Below are 20,698 nucleotides of genomic sequence, written 5' to 3' on the forward strand. Positions count from 1 at the left end.
ACAGGCCCAGTGACAGTCATCACTCACAACACGGGAAGCTACACAGCTAGGTCAGCCTTCTAAGTTGTCTGTGGTGGGCAGGGATGGCCAGGCCTTTCAACTCACTGCAGACAGCACTCCCAGCAGTCAGCAGCAAGTCTGTCATTAGACAGGGATCTGGGTAGCTCATCACAGTGTCCACCACATGCACTGAAGTTGGGAGAAGCTCTATTCTGGGTCACTGGTTCTCAAAATGTGGCTGCATACCAACAGGACCTTCAGCACCCCGGGGACTCATTAGAGATGCACATTCCTGAGCCCCACCCACAGCTACTGAATCAGAAACTAGGGTGGGGCTCAGCAACCTGTGTTTTCACACGTTCTCCAAGTGAGTGCTGCATGCCCAAGTTTCAGAACCACTGCTCCAAGGCAGCCTTTTTTCTGTTTGTTTTGTTTTCTAATTGTTATTGAAATGATTCACAGTCCATCTTAATAATAAAATTCACCACTTTAAAGTGTACAATTCAGTAATTTTGTGGGGTTTTTAGGTTTTTTGTTTTGTTTTGTTTTGTTTTGTTTTTGAGACGAAGTCTTGCTCTGTTGCCCAGGCTGGAGTGCGGTGGTGCCATCTTGGCTTACTGCAACCTCTTATCTCCTGGGTCAAGGGATTCTCTCGCCTCAGCCTCCCGAGTAGCTGGGACTACAGGCGCCCGCCACCACTCCTGGCTAATTTTTGTATTTTTAGTAGAGACGGGGTTTTGCCATGTTGGCCAGACTGGTCTCAAACTCCTGACCTGAAGTGATCTGCCCACCTCAGCCTCCCAAAGTGCTGGGATTACAGGCACGGGCCACCGCGCCCGGCCCAATTCAGTAATTTTTAGTATATTTATAACCTGTTTAGTATATTTGCAACCCTCGCCTTTACTTCCAGAACATTTTCATTATCCCCAAAAGAGATCCCACACCCATTAGCAATCACTCTCTGCACCCCCTCCCAAAGTCTGGCAGCCACTCATCTGCTTTCTGTCACTGTGAATTTGCCTGTTCTTGATACTTTATTTAACTTGAGTAATGCAGTATGTGGCTTTTGTCTTGTTTCTTAACGTTTTGAGAGTCAGCCAAGCTGTAACATGTATCAGTACTCCATTTCCTTCATGGGACAAATCATATTCCATTATTTAGACAGTACCACATTTTGTTTCTTTATTCATCCATTGATGGTCATGGGTTCTTTCTACTGTTTGGTTATTGTGAATAATGCTGCTGTGAACATTGGTGTACAAGTTTCTGTATGGACATATTTCTTCAATTCTCTTGGGTCAATACCTAGGAGTTGCTCAGTCATATGTTAACTCTATGTTTCACTTTTTGAGGAACTCCCAGACTGTTTTCCAAAGTGACTGTACCATTTGACATTCTTACAAGCAGTTTATGAGAGTTCCAGTTTCTCCGTATTATCTCCAACACTTGTTAATATCTGTCCTTTTTATTATAGCCATTCTAGTGAATGTGAAGTGGTATCTCAGTGTAGTTTTAGTTTGCATTTCCCTAATGACTAATGATGTTGAACATAGTTTTCATGTTTTCATTGGCTATTTGTACATCTGCTATGGAGAAATGTCTATTCAGATCCTTCTTAGGGCAGCTCTTTTTGTTCCTTAAGGAATCCCTCAGTATGTCAGCTTTGTGTCCAGTCCTGTGCAGGTGTTTTAGGATTTATGAAACAAAGCCTACAACCTGTGGCCATTACCCACTGGAAAGTTCTAATCAGATGTGAAACTGTCTAAAAAGGGGAAAGGAGGACAGGAGAGCCCACTGTCGAGGGTTAGCATGAAGAGATTCACATTCTATTACAATTCGTGCTTCAGAAAGACACGGTGTGACTTGCTAGGATAGAGTGGTGTGTGTCAGGGATGTGGCGGCTGCAGACTGCTGGAGAAGACTGGGAATGTTGAGAGGAAGAGGAACAAGTAGAGAAGCGGGGACAGGAAGTTGTGGGCAGACCTTCTAGTATTCTTTTATGGGTTACACACACCTGTAAGAGGGGATCTCAGGAGCCCAAGATTTCTTTCAAGATCATGACCTTCACCAGCCTCAGCAAGGTGAAGCAGTTCACCTTTTTCTTCATTTGGGCAAAAATGACCTGCCTCCACCATTTCTCAGAGTGTTTGTAAAGACTGATTATAATACTCTAAACAAGTGCTTGAAGAGTGTGATTTATTCTACATTACAGGTGAGAAAAAAGTTTGTAGGTGTCCTTAAATAGTCTCTGATTCCCTATTAGCAGATCCTCATGGTGGCAGTGCCATGTCCATCCCAACCCCCCAGGGCAGGTGCCTCTCTCAAGATACCTGAGACTACCAGGCACATCCTCAGGGCTCCCAGGCAGCTTCTCTTTATGGTTGCAACACACCTTGAAAATGACATATTGGGGCAAAAGAATTTCAAAACAGCAAAACCTTTGCCATCATCCTCTCACATAGCTAGGGCCTCTGCACGTATGATAACAAGACAGCTACCTTAGACTTATGTCATGCCATCTAACTTACAAAGTGCTCTCTCAACCTTGCACCAGAGGAAACCAAAGCTCCAGGAAGTGACTTGGCTAATGTCACCGGTTGGACTGTAGCATGATCAGGACCTGACCCCTGGTACATTGACACCTGACCCAGTGTTTTCATCGGGCACTTTTACCTTACAGGTTGCTAAGGATTAATGATGGGATGTTTTGATTCTTAGTCTATAAGTGGATCCTCTCCCAGGAGGCTCCAGGTCTCCGGATGCCAGGCACTCATGTTTTATTTGGTGTTGCAGCTGTGTTTCATTGTAGTAACATATTCCAAATGCTATGAGATCACCCTGAGTCTCATTGAAGAAAAGTGTTTCAAAAGTATGCAGAGAGGTCAAAGTATTAGGAAAGTTCTAGAATGTACTTAAATTCTCAGTTTCTTCCAGGAGCCCCTCTGTAACAGGCTGGGTCGTAATTAGAGTATTTGGATCACTGTTTCTTGAACACATTCAACACAAAACTGTGGCAATGCAGAATTCAAAGAGTGGATCAGGACATTTGTGTACTAAGTAGCCCTGTACATACTGGATAATGATTTTCTTTCGTCTGTTCGCCCTGAGTTCTCTAGCGTATACCCTGTCTTGGGTAAGAATATATCCTGAAAAGTCATGTGTCAGGTTGATGTCCTTTGAGTCCTATTTTAAATTCACAAGTGGTATGTGCTGAGAAAAAGCAGATCCTCTGATAAAGCAAAGAACTGTGTTGTGAAAAAAGTTATTCTATCCCTACTCATTCATTTCTTCTGTAAATCAGGATTTTAGGTATTTTTTTCCTTAAAGCTAGTTATATCTACGTAGAAGATTTCTGCATACTTCTCTTTTTTGTTTGTTTTGTTTTTGAAGAACAAAGTATATAAATGCCCTCTAGAGTCATAGACACAGATTGAAGGTGGCAAGGTGAGCAAAATTGGCATTTTGTCCCATTACCCCATTTTCCTTTTCTTTTCTTTTTTTTATCCTAAGCAGGAGAGAAGTGATCTGCAAGTTTCTCAGGATGCTTTTGGGTAAGAGTTTCACCATAAAAATGTCTTCACCCACACTCCTCCCAGTGTCAGTGTGCCAGGTACCCTGTCACCTTTGGTTGATGTCCTGATGGATTAAGCTCTGGACAGAGCCACACCTTTGAAGAGGCTTCTTGGCCAGATTAACACACCAAGGAAAGTGCTTCAGTCTAGAACATGCCCCGTCGCTGGGGTCTGGCACCCTGGCCTCTGTGCTGTGCCCTCCTGCAGCCTGTGCTGTGCTCTCCTACTCCAGTGCTTAGAAATGCCAAGTCAAGGATGTGGGGGCAGGTGCTTGAGAGAGGGTCAAAGTGCTGTCATTGTAAGAAATTATTCATCAACCTCAGATAGTATCTTCCAGTAACAAACCATACAAGACCCTGGCCCTCGAGGAGGAGCCTGCAAATGTTAGCTCCCCTGCCAGCCAAAGAAAATCAGGAAAAGAGCAACAGGGAAAATACTTTATTTTTAAGGAGATATTTTGCCAATAATTTAAATTGCAGCTTTCTTCTCTTAATGAAGAAATATGCATTTCGTGATACCCAGCCTCCCCCAGTTCCTCTGAAGCAGAGATAATAATAACTACTATTTATTGAGGACTAGCAGCCAGGTGCTTCAGCACTTTAGTATTTTCTGCCACTCAAAAAATCAATGGGATTGGCATATAATGATGCCAAAGCTTGGCAAGGTGATTTTGTCTGGGTTTAAACCCGGGTCCCTCTAGCACAGTGCTTTAAAACGTGCCTGGCCCACAATACAAACACACCGTGACCCGGTGTAAGGTGTTTTGTGGAACTCACCAAACCACTCAATAAATATCGACTGCATGAAATGAATGGCTGAACTTCTTAGGACAATTTTATTCTTTTTGATGGTCATTTCAGGTGTCATTCCTCTCCACAGAATGGTAGTTATCACTTACCTTTTTATATCCGCACAGATTAAAAGCTTTGGTGACTGTCGCTTGGTTCCATTTTGTGCTCTCCTCCAGGCTGGTGATGGGCTGGGGTGGGCCGAGAGCAAAGTGTCAGTGCCCACAGCATGCATGAGCTACTGCTTTCAGGCCTGGAGATGCAGAAGGTGGGCCTTACCTAGCTGCTCTTTTACTTGCTGTGATTGTGTAAGGCAGAAGTTCACCCTTGCTCTGCAGCAACCATCACAGAGAGTTGCACCAGCCAGATTTGCGTTCAGCATGCCCAATGATCAACATGCTGTTGAAAATGGAAGTTTGAAAGGAATTGAAAGTAGAAATATTCACCTTACAGGACAGGTAACACTTGCCCCTAGGCCCTACTTTAAGGATTTGGCTGTTCCCCAGTATAGAATTAGAGAACGTCAGAGCTTGAAGGGAATTAGAGAGCATCTAGCCCACTCCACTATCCCTGCTCACCTCTGCCTCTGCTGACAGAGAAGCTATGGACAAGAAAGGAGAACCGAACCACTCAGACCACCACAGTCCTTGGTGGCAGGCCTTACACTGGAGGCCACAGCTCTGCCTTCTGGTACCTTCCACCATGTGGCATCTAGCTGCAAGGGAGGCTGGGAATTTAGGTTCTGTCCTTACAGTGGGGAAAGAGACTTAACCCAGGAGTTTCCCCAAATATGGGAAATCTGATATAAATGGGCTTGCTTAATAATTATTGCCATTCTTACAGGCTAAAATAAAAATCAGATTTCTTCACTGTGGGAATAGATTTTCCTGAGATGTTAAGGGAGCTCCTGCTTTGTATGCCCTTAATCTTTTCTTGTGGTAATGTTTTAGGGCGGTTCCATTAAGCACGCAAATGGTCATGATATCTTTTAAGGGTTCCTCCTGCTCTATGAGTCTTCATTTTCAACACGTGAAGAATTCAGTATAACATTTTCCATTTTTCACTAAGGCTAAACTTATACACACTGACATATCCACTTTAAAGCATCATAAAACAGCATTTGCCCTTGCTCTGTGCTCAATTTTTCTTTCCTTGGAAATGCTGAGAAGTCGTTGCCTGTTCCTGGTTTTTGACGTTGGCTAACCACCTACTGCTAAATGAGACGAATTGAAATAATGGTCTGAAAACTGAATCGTATGGCATTCATGTTCACAGGCTGACCAAGCCAGGAGGGACTGGAATTGATATCTTCCATGGAAAAGATGTCTAACAACACAACCGTTTGAATCAACTCACGTTTACTACCAGGTACTCCTGGTACTAAATACTATAAGTAGCAGTTCATTTGTTTTTGTCTTTCTTTTTTTTTTCTTTCTTTCTTTCCTTCTTTCTCTTTTTTTTTTTTTTTTTTTTGGTCTTTTCTTTCTCTTGTGTAAATATAAAGCTCCCACTGAAATCTACTTAAGTATCATATCTGGAACTTTTCTAGTAAGTAGTGGAAAATCAGTTTGTCTGAGGTCATCTTTCCCATAAAAGGTGTTGAAGTCAAAATACAACATAGCGATGAATTTCTCAATTAAACATTGTATTAGCGAATCACAGAATTACAATTTGAGGAATACACACAGACCAGAGTAGTCTTTGGTATGTTCAAAGGACAAAGAGAAGATTGGGGATTTTATTAGAAAGAGAAATGTTATGTATTGTTTTGAAAGAAGGCTCATTGGCACTACAGAAGCTTTTGGGAGCTGGCAAGGTCTGATGAGTGAGGCAGCAGGTAAAACTCTAGACAAGAAGCAAGACAACTCACAGCAGGTCATTTCAGCAGCTCTGTGTAAAACAACCTTAGGGTCATAGCAAGCCTTTTCAGCAGCTGGGCTTGCAGAAAATTCACTTCTTGGAGCTGGTGCTATATGTCCAGAGTGCCCCAGCACCTCGACTCTGATTTAGTTGAATATTTCAAGAATGACTCAATTCGTATAATCAACTTTCACACACGCTTTTTGGGCGCTGGATAAGATTATCAGAGGAGATAATTACGCTACCTCCAGACCTTTAAAAGTGAGCCTCGTCTAGATCTGATAGTTATGAGGAATTCTACTTGAAGCCTATGAGATTAACTAGACGATTTAGGACTTAGGACTGAGTCCCTAACACTCTAGTAATCTATGATTCTTAAAAGTTAATATTTGTATTTATATTTATATTTGCAGCCCATCAATAATTACATTAATGATGAACTTGGTTCTTAGTTTTGAAGCATCATTCATGCATTTGGTCAATAGCATTTACTGTGCAGGCACTTTGTTAGCAGCCGGGGATACAGTGGTGAAAAAAGTAGACATGAAGCTTCATGAAGCTTATATTATAGTGCAGCGCCCATAAGCTTTTCAAAATCTTCAATTACTGTAATAGTGTTTCTTGGGGCCAGACGTGGTGGCTCACGCCTGTAATCTCAGCACTTTGGGAGGCTGAGGCAGGCAGATCGCCTGAGGTCGGAAGTTCGAGACCAGCCTCATCAAAAGTGGTGAAACCCCATCTCTACTGAAAATTCCAAAATTCGCCAGGCGTGGTGATGCACACTTGTAATCCCAGATACTAGGGAGACTGAGGCAGGAGAATCGCTTGTACCTGGGAGGTGGAGGTTGCAGTGAGTCGAGATTGTGCCACTGTACTCCAGCCTGGGCGACAAGCGAGACTCTGTCTCAAGAAAAAAAAAAAAAAAAAAGTCTTTCATGGAGGACTTCTCATACACGTGCGCACACACACAACACATTGAACACTTTATTGTTTCTGTAGTGATGGGGAGACAGCTAGGTGTGGAGACCTGTAATAAGTCCTAGTGATAGCGAGCCCCAGTTCCCACCTGGGCAGAGTTAGATTTATCCTGTGTAACTGACCAATTCGGAGTGATTTGGAGTGTTTCTCTTCTTGATGAGGCCCAGGGGCCCCACTGCACTTGGCCTACTTCTGAAAGGAGGGAAATGCTGCTCTCAGTAATCCTCTGCTGGGGGGCGAAGGTGGGAGTGATTGGATTACAGTTCCTTTAGTAGCTGCGTGGAGCTTGCCATGTGTCAGAAAACCTTAGAGTGTAGTCATGGAATCCTCAGTGCTGACAGGAATGCACTCTTTTTAAAATAAGTATGCCTCTCTGTGTTGGGATATATGATCAATTGAAGCCTCTGGGCAGAATCCATTGATGGAAAGCCTATATTTAAAAACGAACCTAGTGGAGGTGTATGATACAGAGGATATGGTACAGAGAAGAAGAAAGCAGTGAGGTCTCAGGTGTTGGAAAAGTCAAGTCTAGACAAGAAGCAAGACAACTCACGATGCAGACGAGATGACTGGAAGAGTCTGGGGAACTTTGGGAGATTAAAGGATAGAGATGGTGGATGCTGGGTGATTTCTACCTGTGAGCACGATTACCAGATGTCCTTGATAGTGTGCAATGCCCATGCCATTTCCTTCAGGCGACGCTGCAGTTCAGCGTGCAAGATACTGCCACACAGTTGAGATGCAGATGAATTTGGCACATGTTCATGTTGATGTTGCCCATGTGATTAAGCTTATATGAAGTGGTACACACAAAAAAAGAACCATTTCCTTCCACAGATATTTATATTTAGGGAAAAATGAGAATATTTAAAGAAAAGCTGTTATGCATTGTAGAAGTAAAATTGTAGAAGGTCTTCTACTATCTGCATTTACTTAAAGTTAAAAGTTAATCACTTCCAGCAAGGAACTGCACATGTGGAATGTTGGTGGTCAATGTGTTATGTTAAGAAACTTAAAACCCTCATTTCTACAAATAGTCATATGATACGACTCTTCCTGAAAACTAGAGTTGGGACACTGGTACCCTAAGCACAGCACAGAGTACCAGGATGCCTATCTGACTGGACCTTTGCCAGCTCTGGGCATTTGCTCTTTTGTTAGTCTTTGGCATTTATTTTATTTTATTTTTAGAGGTAGGGTCTCATTCTGTTGCCCAGGATGGACAGCAATGGCACAGTCATAGTTCACGGCAGCCTCAACCTCCCAGGCTCAAGAGATCCTCCTCCCTCAGCCTCCCAAGTAGCTGAGACTACAGGCATACACCACCATACCCAGCTAATTTTTAATTTTTTTTGTATAGATGGGGTCTCACTATGTTGCCCAGCCTGTCCTCAAACTCCTGGGCTCAAGCAATCCTCCCACCCTGGACTCCCAAAGTGCTGGGATTACAGGTGTGAGTCACTGCATCCAGCCCAATCTTTGACGGTTTGACAGACAAAAAACTGGCATCCTGTGGTTTTGTCCGGGAGGTTTTTAAATGCCTCTGCCCATAGTGTAGCAGTGACTATTTGAGACTAAAATGCTTTTTTTAGGGGAACAGTTTATTTGCTATTTTCTTATTGGGATAACTTTTTCAGAGCAGCCTCCCCCCATAGTAAGAAAATTAAAGGTATTCACGATGAACCACCCTGATGAAAGGAAGAAGTGCTTAGAGCTTCCGTGTCCCACATTCTGTGTGGGATTGGGAACCTCTGGCATGGGTCCCAGTGATGATATTGGACAATCCCCTGGTGTACTGCTCAGTGGGAAAGTAGATATGGCAGAGAATGTTACTTGACTTCTAATAATCATTTTCCCCATCTTCCTTGTTAATAGAACCACTGCATTTTTAATTTGGTGACTTGCCCGATTAAATGCAATAAAGACTACATGTCTTAGCCACCATTGCAGCAAGGTGCTGTCATATCACTAAGTTCTGGCCAATGGTTATTTTTAAAATTTAAATACATTCATTTATTTATTTTAATTGATGTATAAAAATGGCATATGTTTATTGTGTACAACATGATGTTCTAAAATGTGCATACATTGTGGGATGATGAAATTGAGCTAATTAACATACGTATGACCTTACATACTTGTTTTTTGTGATGAGAACACTTAAAATCCAGTGATTTCTAAGAATACAATGTTATTATCTATAGTCACCATGTTGTACAATAGATCTTCTAAACACATTCCTTCTGTCTAGCTGAAATTTTACATCCTTTGACCAACACTTCCCAACCCCTCCGCCCAGCCCCTGGTAACCACCATTCGACTTTTTGCTTCTATAGCTCAACTTTTTTAGATTCTGCATATAAATGAGATCATGTAGTATTTATCTTTCTGTGCCTGGCTTATTTCACTTGGTATAATGTTCTCCAAGTTCATCCATGTTGTCCCAGAGGACAGGATTGTCTTTTTTTTTTTTTTTTTTCCGAGACAGAGTCTCACTCTGTCTCCCAGGCTGGAGTGCAGTGGTGTGATCTCGGCTTACTGCAAACTCTGCCTCCCAGGTTCGTGCTATTCTCCTGCCTCAGCCTCCCAAGTAGCTGGGACTACAGGCGCCCACCACCACGCCAAGCTAATTTTGTTTTTTTTGTTTTGTTTTTTTTTTTTGTTGTTTTGTTTTTTTAGTAGAGACAGGGTTTCACCATGTTAGCCAGGATGGTCTCCATCTCCTGACCTCATGATCTGCCCACCTCTGCCTCCCAAAGTGCTGGGATTACAGGCGTGAGCCACCACGCCCGGCCAGGATTGTCCTCTTTTTTAAGACTGAATAGGATCCATTGTGTATGTGTCTTTACCACATTTTCTTTATCTATTCATCTGTCAGCGGACACTTAGGTGAATTCCATGTCTTGGCTAATATGAATAATGCTACAGTGAATATGAGAGTACAGGTATCTCTTCAACATATTGATCTTATTTCCTTTGGATACATACCCTAAAGTGGAATTGCTGAATCATATGGAAGTTCTGTTTTTTGTTGTTGTTGTTGTTGTTGTTGTTGTTGTTGTTGTTGTTGTTTTGAGACAGAATCTCACTCTGTCGCTTACTTAAGTTGGAGTGCAGTGGTGCGATCTTGGCATCTTGGCTCACTGCAATCTCCACCTCCTGGGTTAAAGCGATGCTCTTGCCTTAGCCTCTGAGTAGCTAGGATTACAGGCATGTGCCACTGTGCCCAGGTAATTTTTGTATTTTAAGTAGAGACAGGGTTTTGCCATGTAGGCTGGGCTGGTCTCGAACTCCTGGCATCAAGTGATCCAACTGCCTTGACCTCTCAAAGTTCTGGGATTATAAGCATGAGCCACCACACCCAACCCATATTTTTAATGTTTTGAGGAACCTCCCTGTTGTTTTCCATAATGGCTGTACCAAGTTAAATTCCCACCAACAGCATGTAAGCTTTCTTTTTCTCCACATTCTCACCAAAACTTAGCGCTCATCTTTTTTTTTTTTTTTTTTTTTTTTTTTTTCCTGACAGAGTCTCATTCTGTTGCCCAGGCTAGAAGGCAGTGGTGTGGTCATGGCTCACTGCAGCCTCAACCTCCTGGGCTCAGGCTTTCCCCCCACTTCAGCCACCCAAGTAGCTGGGATGACCACAGGTGCACGCCACTACACCTGGCTAATTTTTAATTTTTATATAGAGACCAGGTCTCACTATGTTGCCCAGGTTGGTCTCTCATCTTTTTGATAGTGGCCGTCCTAACAAGTATGAGGTGATATTCATTGTAGTTTTAATTTGAATTTCCCTGATTATTAGTGCCGTTGAGCAGTTTTTAAATATATCTGTTGGCCATTTGTAGTTCTTCTTTTGAAAAATGCCTATTCAGGTCATTTGTCCATTTTTTATTTGCATGATTTTCTTGCTGTAGAGTTGTTTGAATTCCTAATCTATTTTGGATATTAACCCCTTATCAGATACATGATTTGCAAATATTTTCAGCCATTTCATAAGTTCTCTTCACTCTGTTGATTGTTTCCTTTGCCATGCCAAAGATTTTTTAGTTTGATGCAATCCTATTTGTCTATTTTTGCCTTTAGGATCATATACGAAACATCTTTGTGAATGTCATGGGGTATTTCCCCTATGTTTTCTTCCAGGAGTTTTACAGCTTCAGGTCTTGTATTACATGTAAGTCTTTAATCCATTTTGAGTTGATTCTTTCACACGGTGTGAGATAAGGGTCTCATTTCATTCCTCTGCACGTAGGTATGCAGTTTTCCCAATACTATGTATTGAGGAGACTGTCCCTTCCCCATTAGCCAGTGGGTATTAACGAAAGAGTGAAGTGTTACTTGTAGAGTGTACCCTTAAAGAGTCAAGGGCATGCCCCCTTCACCCTTGCTCCTTCTGCGGTCTAGAATGTGGACATAATGGTTGGGGCTGCAGTTATCATCTTGCACCATGATGTAGCTTTGGGAATGAAAGGCAGTAAGGCAGAAACAGCAACATATCTAGAGAAACCCTATGTCCCTGACATTATAGAGTGCCATGCCAGCCCTAGGCTGCCTACCGTGGGGCTTTGATGTGAGAAAGAGAACTCTTACTTGAGCCACTGTTATTTTAGGTTGCCTGTCACTTGCAGTCAAACATAATCCTAACTAATCCAGTGGGGAAATGGCTCTAAAAGGAGCTATCATCCACCTTCCTAAATTTCTAACATTTGGAAGCCGCTTCTTATAGCAAGTCTTTTTGTTACAATTACGCAGTCACAATGGATAACTATCTGCACTTTACTGTGGACTGTGGAAAGGTATGAAGCACAGAGGAATGAAAATCTCACACTCACTCACTAGAATGTACTTATACTCACATTTACCAAAATGCCACTTACAGCCTTGTGCATAATAAAATAAAGTAATTACTAATTAGTCCGTCACGTGGGCATCCAAACCATACTTGAATAGTGACTTCAGTGATGTGCTGAGAGTCGTACTCATTAGAGTAGTCATAGTTTCTACAAAGGGGGCCTTAGAAATGGGCTTACTTGAAGCATTTCTCTAAATATACAAATAATAAATTGGAAACCTTCTGGAGTGTGTATAATGTATACACAAATGTGTGCATTGGTTGTTATACTCGAAGTAGCAGAAAACATCTGCTCCTGACTTTAACACGGGAACAAATGACCCCAGATTATTAGCTGCTAATAGATTTTTGTAGTTTTAGGGAAAGGAGAAAAGTACCATAGCCTTCTTTGTTCTATAAAGAATACGTATTTTATGTATTCTGTGTTTGAACCATCTCAGCATCAGAATTGACTGTTTAATAGTTGCAGTTGTTTAATAATTTTTTTTTAGTTAATGCAAAATATTGGAAGTCATCTCCAGGCTTCTGGCTTACAGAGAGTCCCTGTAGAGATAGCAGATCACTGCATCTGACATCGTCAGCTGTGGTTGCTCAAACCTCTGGTCCAGGAAGAGGCAGAGTCAACCTTTTTTCCCAGCAGAATGGGATTCTAGACATGCAGATCAGCTCTCCTAAATAGTCTTAGAGTCAGAGTATTTTACCACCGGATGTGAACCCTGGAGATGATCTAGTATTGTCCTTCAAGTTGAGGAAACTGAGGTCCAGTAAGTCCAACAAGACCTACCCAAGGTCACAGTGGCCTGGGTGGCACAGGGCTGGAACCCAGACCTCATTGTTCTTGTCATACAGCATGACCTTCCATTTCAAGGAGACTAACAAATACCAAGTTTGGCAATGTATCCACCCTCACTTTTATTTGAGAGGTTACAAAGCAAACAAAATGAGATCATGTCATAAGCAGTTCTGTCCTAAGTGGGTTAGGATTTATTTCTTCTTTTCTACATTTTTTTTTTAAATCAGAAGGTATATCCCCAAGAACAGGAACTAAAGGAACAGATTGCTTAGACCCTTGTGACTCTGCCCTGGTGGTGGATCATTAATGGTGTAGAAAATGAGGGCAGTGCTGGGCAGGCAGTCCAGGGTGGGGTGCATGCCTCTTTAAGAGATTTATGTGGAGGTCTGAGCTAGGGAGACAGCGCGGTGGTACATCATCATGCAGGCGACATCAGAGACTTTCTTCTTCGCTTGGGTGCATTATCATAAAAAGTGATTTAGACTGGAGCTGATTGATGCAAATGGCCCTATGTTCTTTCCTATCATTAGCGGCCTCTTTCAGTGGCCAGAGGCAGTGATTAAAGCTGTCATTTGGAGCTGCTCATTAAAGACAAGCCCCAGAATAGCAAGAGGAAAAAAGGTTGGAGAGGCATATATATACATATATGTGTGTGTGTCTGTGTGTGTGTGTGTGTGTGTGTGTGTATTTTTTGCCTTAAAAGTGCATCATTCTTTTCTAGATTGAGCCACTGAAATCAAGGCTGTAGAGACATTTCCACTGAGAATATAGAATGCTGTTTTGCAAGTAATATTAGATTTTCGGAGTGTCATAGTAGATTCTGATGACAGCTTGCCTACATATTATGAAAGGAGATGAGGAGGGTATTGTGTTAGGTGTGTTTTGTTAGGGATTGACCCTGGTGAGAACTCATTAAGTCTCCCTCCTCCCAGGCTGGGGACTTCAGAGGCAGGCCACAGGAGAGCAGAGGGGAGGGTTGCCGAGAGTGGATGGCCTCAGTAAGTCCCACTGTGACAGTGTTGACCCCAGGGATGGACAGAAGAAGGAGAGCAGGGAGGAGGCTTTTTGCTGAGCCCAGATGATATAGATGCCTGGATGTCACTCAGAGAGAGGGGTTGGTGAGAGGAGGCCCCTAAATAGGAGGGGAATGGAACAAAGCAAGATCCATAGATGCGAGAAGAGAAATTAATCAGAACATGATCCCTGGCTCCTTGGAGTCTTCCAGACAGGGCGACATGACTAGTTAATCACTCTTGTGGTCAAATTGGGCTTCAGTGTGCACCTGCCTACCTTTTCATCAACATGCATTCACATCCACTTACGCACTGATTTTTAGTTTAGTGTCCCAGTAGTACCTAAAAGTGACAAAAATCCCAAGCTCCAAATGAATTACAGCATGCCCCAAATGAAGGCTAGGGTAGTTAGTGGGTGGCGGCTAAACAGGGAGCCAGGGCTGTGAAGCCAGGGAGGGAGCCATCTTTGTTTCTTGGAAGAAACCAGTTTGAAGTCAGAGATGAGACTGGCTGGCTAATCCTGCACATCCTCACTGGCCAGTTGATGTCTTACTGCCCAAATCCCACCAAACTTTCATACAAGCTAGTCTACAGCTCTCCTCAGAAATTCCTCTGGGAAAGGAAAAAAATAAGAAATTATCAATTTAATTTCTCAGTCTAATGAACTGGTCTTATACATAAAAATTTAAATTACTTTTTTTTTTATGAAAGTGGGGACCAACATCATTTATGCAACCACCACTGTCTCCATGACAACGCCTTGGATGTGGCAGCTCATGTGACTTCACAGTCACAGGCCCTTGAAATGAAGCAAAGGAAAGTTTTAGTTTCTCTTCTGTAATTTATTGGACTCTAGGGATGCTCACGATGGTGCTAAGTGGAGGTGTGGGGGTTTCTTTTTGCTGTGGACAGTAAATAGTGAGAAAGTGGTGAAATTATTCCTTCCTGCGGCAGGGATTGGAACTTGCTGCAGAGAGTGCTTCCTTGTCAGCCTCAGAGCCAGTTGACAGCTTCAGAGGCGTGGCTTTTGTCCTCCTCTCTGCTGCACCCCCACCCCCACGCTGGCCTTCTTAGCCTGGGTCTGGCGCATCAGGGCCTATTAGTACTGATGCTGGGCTGTGATGTTCCTCTCCTCGGGGAGCACGGCAGCAGAACTGAACAAAGTCACTGGTAATCTGTGCTTACAGCCTCCCCCCTGGGGAGAAAGCCTAGCCAGCTGGCACTCTCACGCTGAGCACATTCACTTCCCCTGGCTGGTCGGCAGCCTGGCAGGGGCCCAGAGGCTGGCCGGCTGCAGGGCTAACCTGCACCAGCACCCCAGGCAGCCCAGCTCAGGATCACACACGCATTGTTCTCTGCCTTCCAGACTGGACACTGGCTGAACTCACAGCTTGGACGGTGTGGCTCATCTGCTTAGGCCTTCCCAGGGTAGCTCTCTAGAAATAAAAATTACGAACGCTGGATGAAGAACAATTGGCTGGCTACATTGAGGTTAATACAGGACCATTTCCCCTGTCGTCTTTTTCCTTTCCCAGGCTCTAGGTCGGTGACATCAGGAAGATTTATCATGAGTTCCGTCTTCTGTAGTTGGAAAGGAGATGGCACATCTGCCTTGGGTGATGGGGTGGAAGAGTGGGTGGCAGGGATGAGGGTGGAGCAGGAAACACCAGTAGTCCTGGATGTGTGTGTACTTGTTAGAAATACCTGCAGGGAAAAAAGAAGCGGCTGGTCTTTGGATCCTTGCTCAGGTGGACCTTCCAGCACACCCATTGCCAGATACAACTTCTGTCGAACTAAGACTTCCCTCCCATGTACCAGAATCTTGCATAAAGGGAGCAGAGGCTTGAGAGGCCCCTCTGGGGAAGCAATGTCTTTAGTCACTGCTCTGCTCACAAGGTGCAGGAAAAGTCTAGATTTTTCTCAGTTGACTTTCAGGCTTAGAAAAAAAAAACCTCTAGAAGATTTATGGCTTGTTGTTGTTGTTGTTGTTGTTGTTGTTGTTGTTGTTGGAAAAGCATTTATTCTCTTTAGGAGCCATCACACACCAACATGTATGTGGCCCTTAGTTGGCGTAGGTAGAGGTCAACTGTGCTGCTTTCACCAGGTATACAGGTGTCCTAATAAGAGTTTGGGGACAGTGCAAAACGGCAGTGTGTTCTGTTCAAATTTTTTTTTTGTCTTGCTCTGTTGCCCAGGATAGAGTGCTATGGTGCGATCTTGGCTCACTGCAACCTTCACCTCCCAGAATCAAGCGATTCTCCACCTCAGCCTCCCGAGTAGCTGAGATTACAGGTGCTGGCCACCTTGCCGAGCTCATTTTTATATTTTTCAGAGAGGTAGGGTTTTGCCATGTTGCCCAGGCTGGTCTCGAACTCCAGACCTCAAGTGATCTGCCCACCCTGGCCTCCCAAATTGCTGGGATTACAGGCGTGAGCCACCACATGCAGCCCAGAAACTTTTCTTTTAGCAGAGATAAAGGAGGGATTTCTCCAAAAAGACAACAAAAAAGGTGCAAATGAATTAGCTTCTGTACATCTTCTTCAGATTTTCCCTATTCTGTTAGTGAGTTCACTGAGAAGTGGAGGGAACAAGAGGAAGAATCATTGCTAACATGAAGCCAGTGCTAGGCCTTATGCTAAAACTCTTACACAGGGGTCTTATCTCCTTCTGACAGTGCAGTTGGGAAGCATGCTCACCAGCCCCATGTGGCAGGTGAAGCCCCTGGCTCAGAGCCTCTCAGCAGCTAATAGCTACCACGTGGAGGCTCCAGGATCTAAGCCCAAGTGCCAGCCTAAAGACCCCACGCTCTTCTCCCTGGCTGAGTGCTGAGGTACCATTCGGCTTTAACAGCTGACGGGGCTGATGCAGCTGCCCGGTGACACCATGTGCCCTGCTGTGTACTGCAGTTGCCATTTTGCATTTATAGTGGGATTATCTGATGCTCCAAGCTCCACAAGGGCAAGGTCTTAGTTTTTACATACTGTTGAGTCCCCAGTGCCTGACACTGTGCTCTGCACACCATATGTGGTCAATACATACTTGGCAAATGAAAAAGGGAATGAACGAGTGGTCAGGGTTAAAAATCAACGTATCTTTAAAGTAAGCCAATGTGCTTCCCAAACCCAAAGAAATTCTTCTCAAAATAGAGTGTCGAATAGTTTTTTTTTTTTTTTTTTGATTGGAGAAACTTGAGCATGTTTTTAGGCCAAGCAGTAGGAATTATTAGAGAGGGAATGATGGCACTATTGATGGAACACGGTCCCAGAGGAGATCTGAAGTGACAAGATTAAGAGCAGAGAAGAATTTTCATTAGCAGAAACAGGGCACTTCCTCCTTAGAGACCAGAGGTGAAGAGAGAAAAAAAGGATCCGGTAGTCATGGGCTATGTATCACTTAGGAGTGCTTTCAGCTGCAAGTAATAGCTTGACTAGCAGTGCCTGAAACAATTAAGGATTTATTTTTTTCATGTGATGGTAAGACAGCTACAGCTGGGTGACCACTGTGTTGCTTCAGTGGCTCAGTGGGGTAAGGGCCATTGTCTTCAAGACTTTCTTGGCCTTTCCCTCATGAGATGCACCTTCTAGCATCACATTTGCATTCAAGTAAAAGTCCGTGCTATCCTTGCAGACACTTACTTCGCATGCTGCCTGCTCTGCTGATTGAGGAAATGGTCAAGACTAAATGACCACTAGTCCCTCCTTCAGGTATGACAGTGGAGTCCAACGGTTAGTGGGATCTGACCTCCAGCGAGCTTATTTCTCCTATGATGAATATAAGAAGTTTGTGGCCGGGCTCAGTGGCTCATGCCTGTAATCCCAGCACTTTGGGAGGCCGAGGTGGGCGGATCATGAGGTCAGGAGATCAAGACCATCCTGGCTAACATGGTGAAACCCCGTTTCTACCAAAAATACAAAAAAATTAGCTGGGCGTGGTGGCGGGCGCCTGTAGTCCCAGCTACTCAGGAGGCTGAGGCAGGAGAATGGCATGAACCAGGGAGGCAGAGCTTGCAGTGAGCTGAGATCACACCACTGCACACCAACCTGGGCGACAGAGCGAGACACTGTCTCAGAGAAAAAAAAAAGAAGTTTGTGAGGGATTCCTAAGAAAGTGACCGAGGGAGAGGAGGAAGGGGAGAGTTGGAAAAGTTAAATGATTCACTTGTAAGCTACTAGAACTTTGTTAAGTTTGGGGACATCATGGTTTTGTGAAATCTACTTTCGCTGAAATTTATGTCCATTTCTTTGCCTCCTTCTCTCTGCACACCGCCTCTACTCAGAAATTTAACCATTTACACACAACAGAAAGAATTTTCCTCAAGATCGCTACTTTTGCCCAGTATTTCTGATTGTCTTTCTGCTTCACATCTCCAGAAAATGTATTCCCTTTAACAACTTAACTTGGAGAAGGAGGAAAGAAACCTAAGCAGATATGACTCCACCTAAGTTTTATGAGGAACCTTCGAAGGAAACTCTGAGAAAAATGAGTCTGTATCTTTTTCTCCCTCTTAGACCAGGCTTTTGACATCTACCAGTGTGCACACTTACCAATTAACAGTTACGTTCTTATTGGTTGAGAGAACAAGGCATTAACACGTCTGGTGACTGCTGCGCTGGTCCCGTGAGACCTGTAGAGAGGCCAAGTGGTTGCCGTGGGCTTTTGCTACCTCTTTGGGCAGTCACTTTGCCTGTATGAGACGAGGAGGCCGGACCCTCTCAGCTCCTGACATCCTCTCTAACCTCCTGTGATCTGGTCACCCTGTGGGAAAGCCAAGGCAGCCCTGGCCCCTCTCCAGCAGTCTCTCCCTGGAGGGCTCGGCCTGTTGGGTTTTACTTAGCTCGCAGTTTATGCCTTCATTCTCCTCTGACCCTCATTAACCAAGAGGAAAAACTAATTCTAGAAAGGACTCCATTTCCCCCCATATTGTATATTTCATATCCACAGAGCATGCTGTGCCCTATTGAGAATTAAACTGCGATCACTAACCTCATCTCATTTGTGCCAGGGGTCTTGTTCAAAAGCTGTTTCCCCAGCAAAGCAGTGCCGTGGGTTAGGACCCCCTCACCCCACACACACATGCTTGGTGGAGTGGTTCCCATCTCTTTTTAATGCCTTTGGCAGGGGACAGACAGAGAGAGAGAAAGAGAGAGAGAGAAGGAAACACAGGGAGAGAGAGAGCAAGAGAAAAAAAAGAGAAACACAAAAGAAGAACAAGAGGGAAAGAAAAGCTCTCGAACAGCAGCCCTGTGTTTTGTTAGAACATTGGCACTGCATTTATCAGGATTACTGGAGGGAGAGCAGGGTTTGATCCTCTTCTCCACTGGGAGAGGGAAAAGCTTTATTGTACCTTTTTTAACATCTCACAGTTAGATCAGAACAATACACTGTGTATGTACATACACACCATACGTATGTGCCTAAGGATGATATTCTACTTGGGACACACCCTGTTTTCAAAGCATGGCTGAATTTTTTATAAAGGCCAGATACAGAAAGCCACCAGGCTCTCCCTGGGTCTCCCTTTCCAGCAGACCTTCCCCCCCTCCCCATCCCCTTGCCGGACTTGGATCAGCAGGATTCACTCCTGTCAAACAAATTAGAGCATCTATGAAATGGGGCTATCGACATGTGTGACTTGATCTGTTTTAATAGGGGCCCGGTGGGAGTTTCCTCCCTGCCCCACTGAGCTTTGTATCCTTCACGGAAAGGCAGACGGGGCGCGGGAGGATGCTGTGGACTTTAACCCTTTGCTGCCAGCAGGTTGCCTGCCTCCTGCGTGCAGCCGCTTCCTTTTTGTGCCTGGCCATTGTCTGGGGAGTGCGTGCGGCCTGCCATGCTCTTCATGCTTGTTATCTCACAGGAGACAAGCTCACCCCAGGAGAGGAAGAGAGAGCTGCGTTCTGAAGCAGATCTTTTGATTTCCTTTCTTCCCTCTCCTCTCTCAAATAATTAGAAGTGCTGGTCAAGGTATTAAAAAAAAAAAACAGCCAAAGGGGAGAAAATATATTGTATATTTTATAACCCTGGCATTTTGTTTTTCAAGAGGTGTTGTCGGGCTGCCATTTGACCCTTATGTAATAATTAGCATTTGAGCTGTGGCAGCTAGCAAGTAGGTAAGGGAGAATTGCCTGTTTGGAGGAAGGATCCGACCCCTTTTAAGTAGAAGAGAAGAGGGAATTTGCCTCTGTCAGCATTTCAGATGCACCCCCATGCTATCACTGTCTCCCTGGCCCTCTGTTCCTGACTCAGTTGCTAATGACACAATCTCCCAGCGCCTGCCTCCGCCCATGGCTCACCCCCACACCCATTCACTGTTCAGGTACTTGAGTCCCAGCCACAGAGCTGGAAGGCTGGACAGCAGCTAAGACAAGAGGCAGAGGCCTTGTGCACAGTCCTGTTGCCGAGAAGCGCTTAGCACCCTGCCACCCTCCCTGTACCGCTCTGTAGGGGTGCAGATTCCCACCGAGCCCATGGCCTTACCTGCACCTCTCCCTTAACCTGGGAGTGCTGCGGGCAGAAGTCAGGACCCGCTTTCTTTTCTTGCTCTTCTTTACTCCTTAGCACATAGCACTGGTACACCTCAATTTATAGAACAGACACCTTCCTGAAAAACTGCATGTAAATGCAATTTTTGACAGGTGGAATTTTGTAGCTCATAGATTTACATTGTTTAGAGTCAGTCGAAATGAAGCTGAAAACACAATCATATTCCCTGTACTTACTGGTGTAGGAACCTGAGCACACAGCTCCTTTCGTAAAGTGAGAAATTCTCCAGCGGAGCGTGTAGCCGTACCCTGGTTTACCTGTTCAAGGAGTCCTATGCTGAAGACCACATCTTA

The 20,698-nt window shown here is 44.2% G+C and overlaps 1 protein-coding gene across 26 annotated transcripts in view, besides 1 other annotated feature; it reads left to right on the forward strand.

Annotated features, from left to right (window-relative positions):
* The window catches only part of AUTS2 (activator of transcription and developmental regulator AUTS2), a 1,195,032-nt gene that overhangs the window by 1,001,259 nt on the left and 173,075 nt on the right, over positions 1–20,698 (forward strand). The window lies entirely within an intron of this gene.
* Positions 14,585–15,117: an enhancer, noted in NCBI's record as "NANOG-H3K4me1 hESC enhancer chr7:70079304-70079836 (GRCh37/hg19 assembly coordinates)". NCBI's record gives its function as "activates a minimal SCP1, AML or CMV promoter by ChIP-STARR-seq in primed H9 embryonic stem cells {active_cell/tissue: H9 hESC(primed)}" and the evidence as "EXISTENCE:reporter gene assay evidence [ECO:0000049][PMID:30033119]".

The sequence above is a fragment of the Homo sapiens genome, chromosome 7 (genome assembly GCF_000001405.40).
Source record: "Homo sapiens chromosome 7, GRCh38.p14 Primary Assembly".
Classification (NCBI taxonomy): domain Eukaryota; kingdom Metazoa; phylum Chordata; class Mammalia; order Primates; family Hominidae; genus Homo; species Homo sapiens.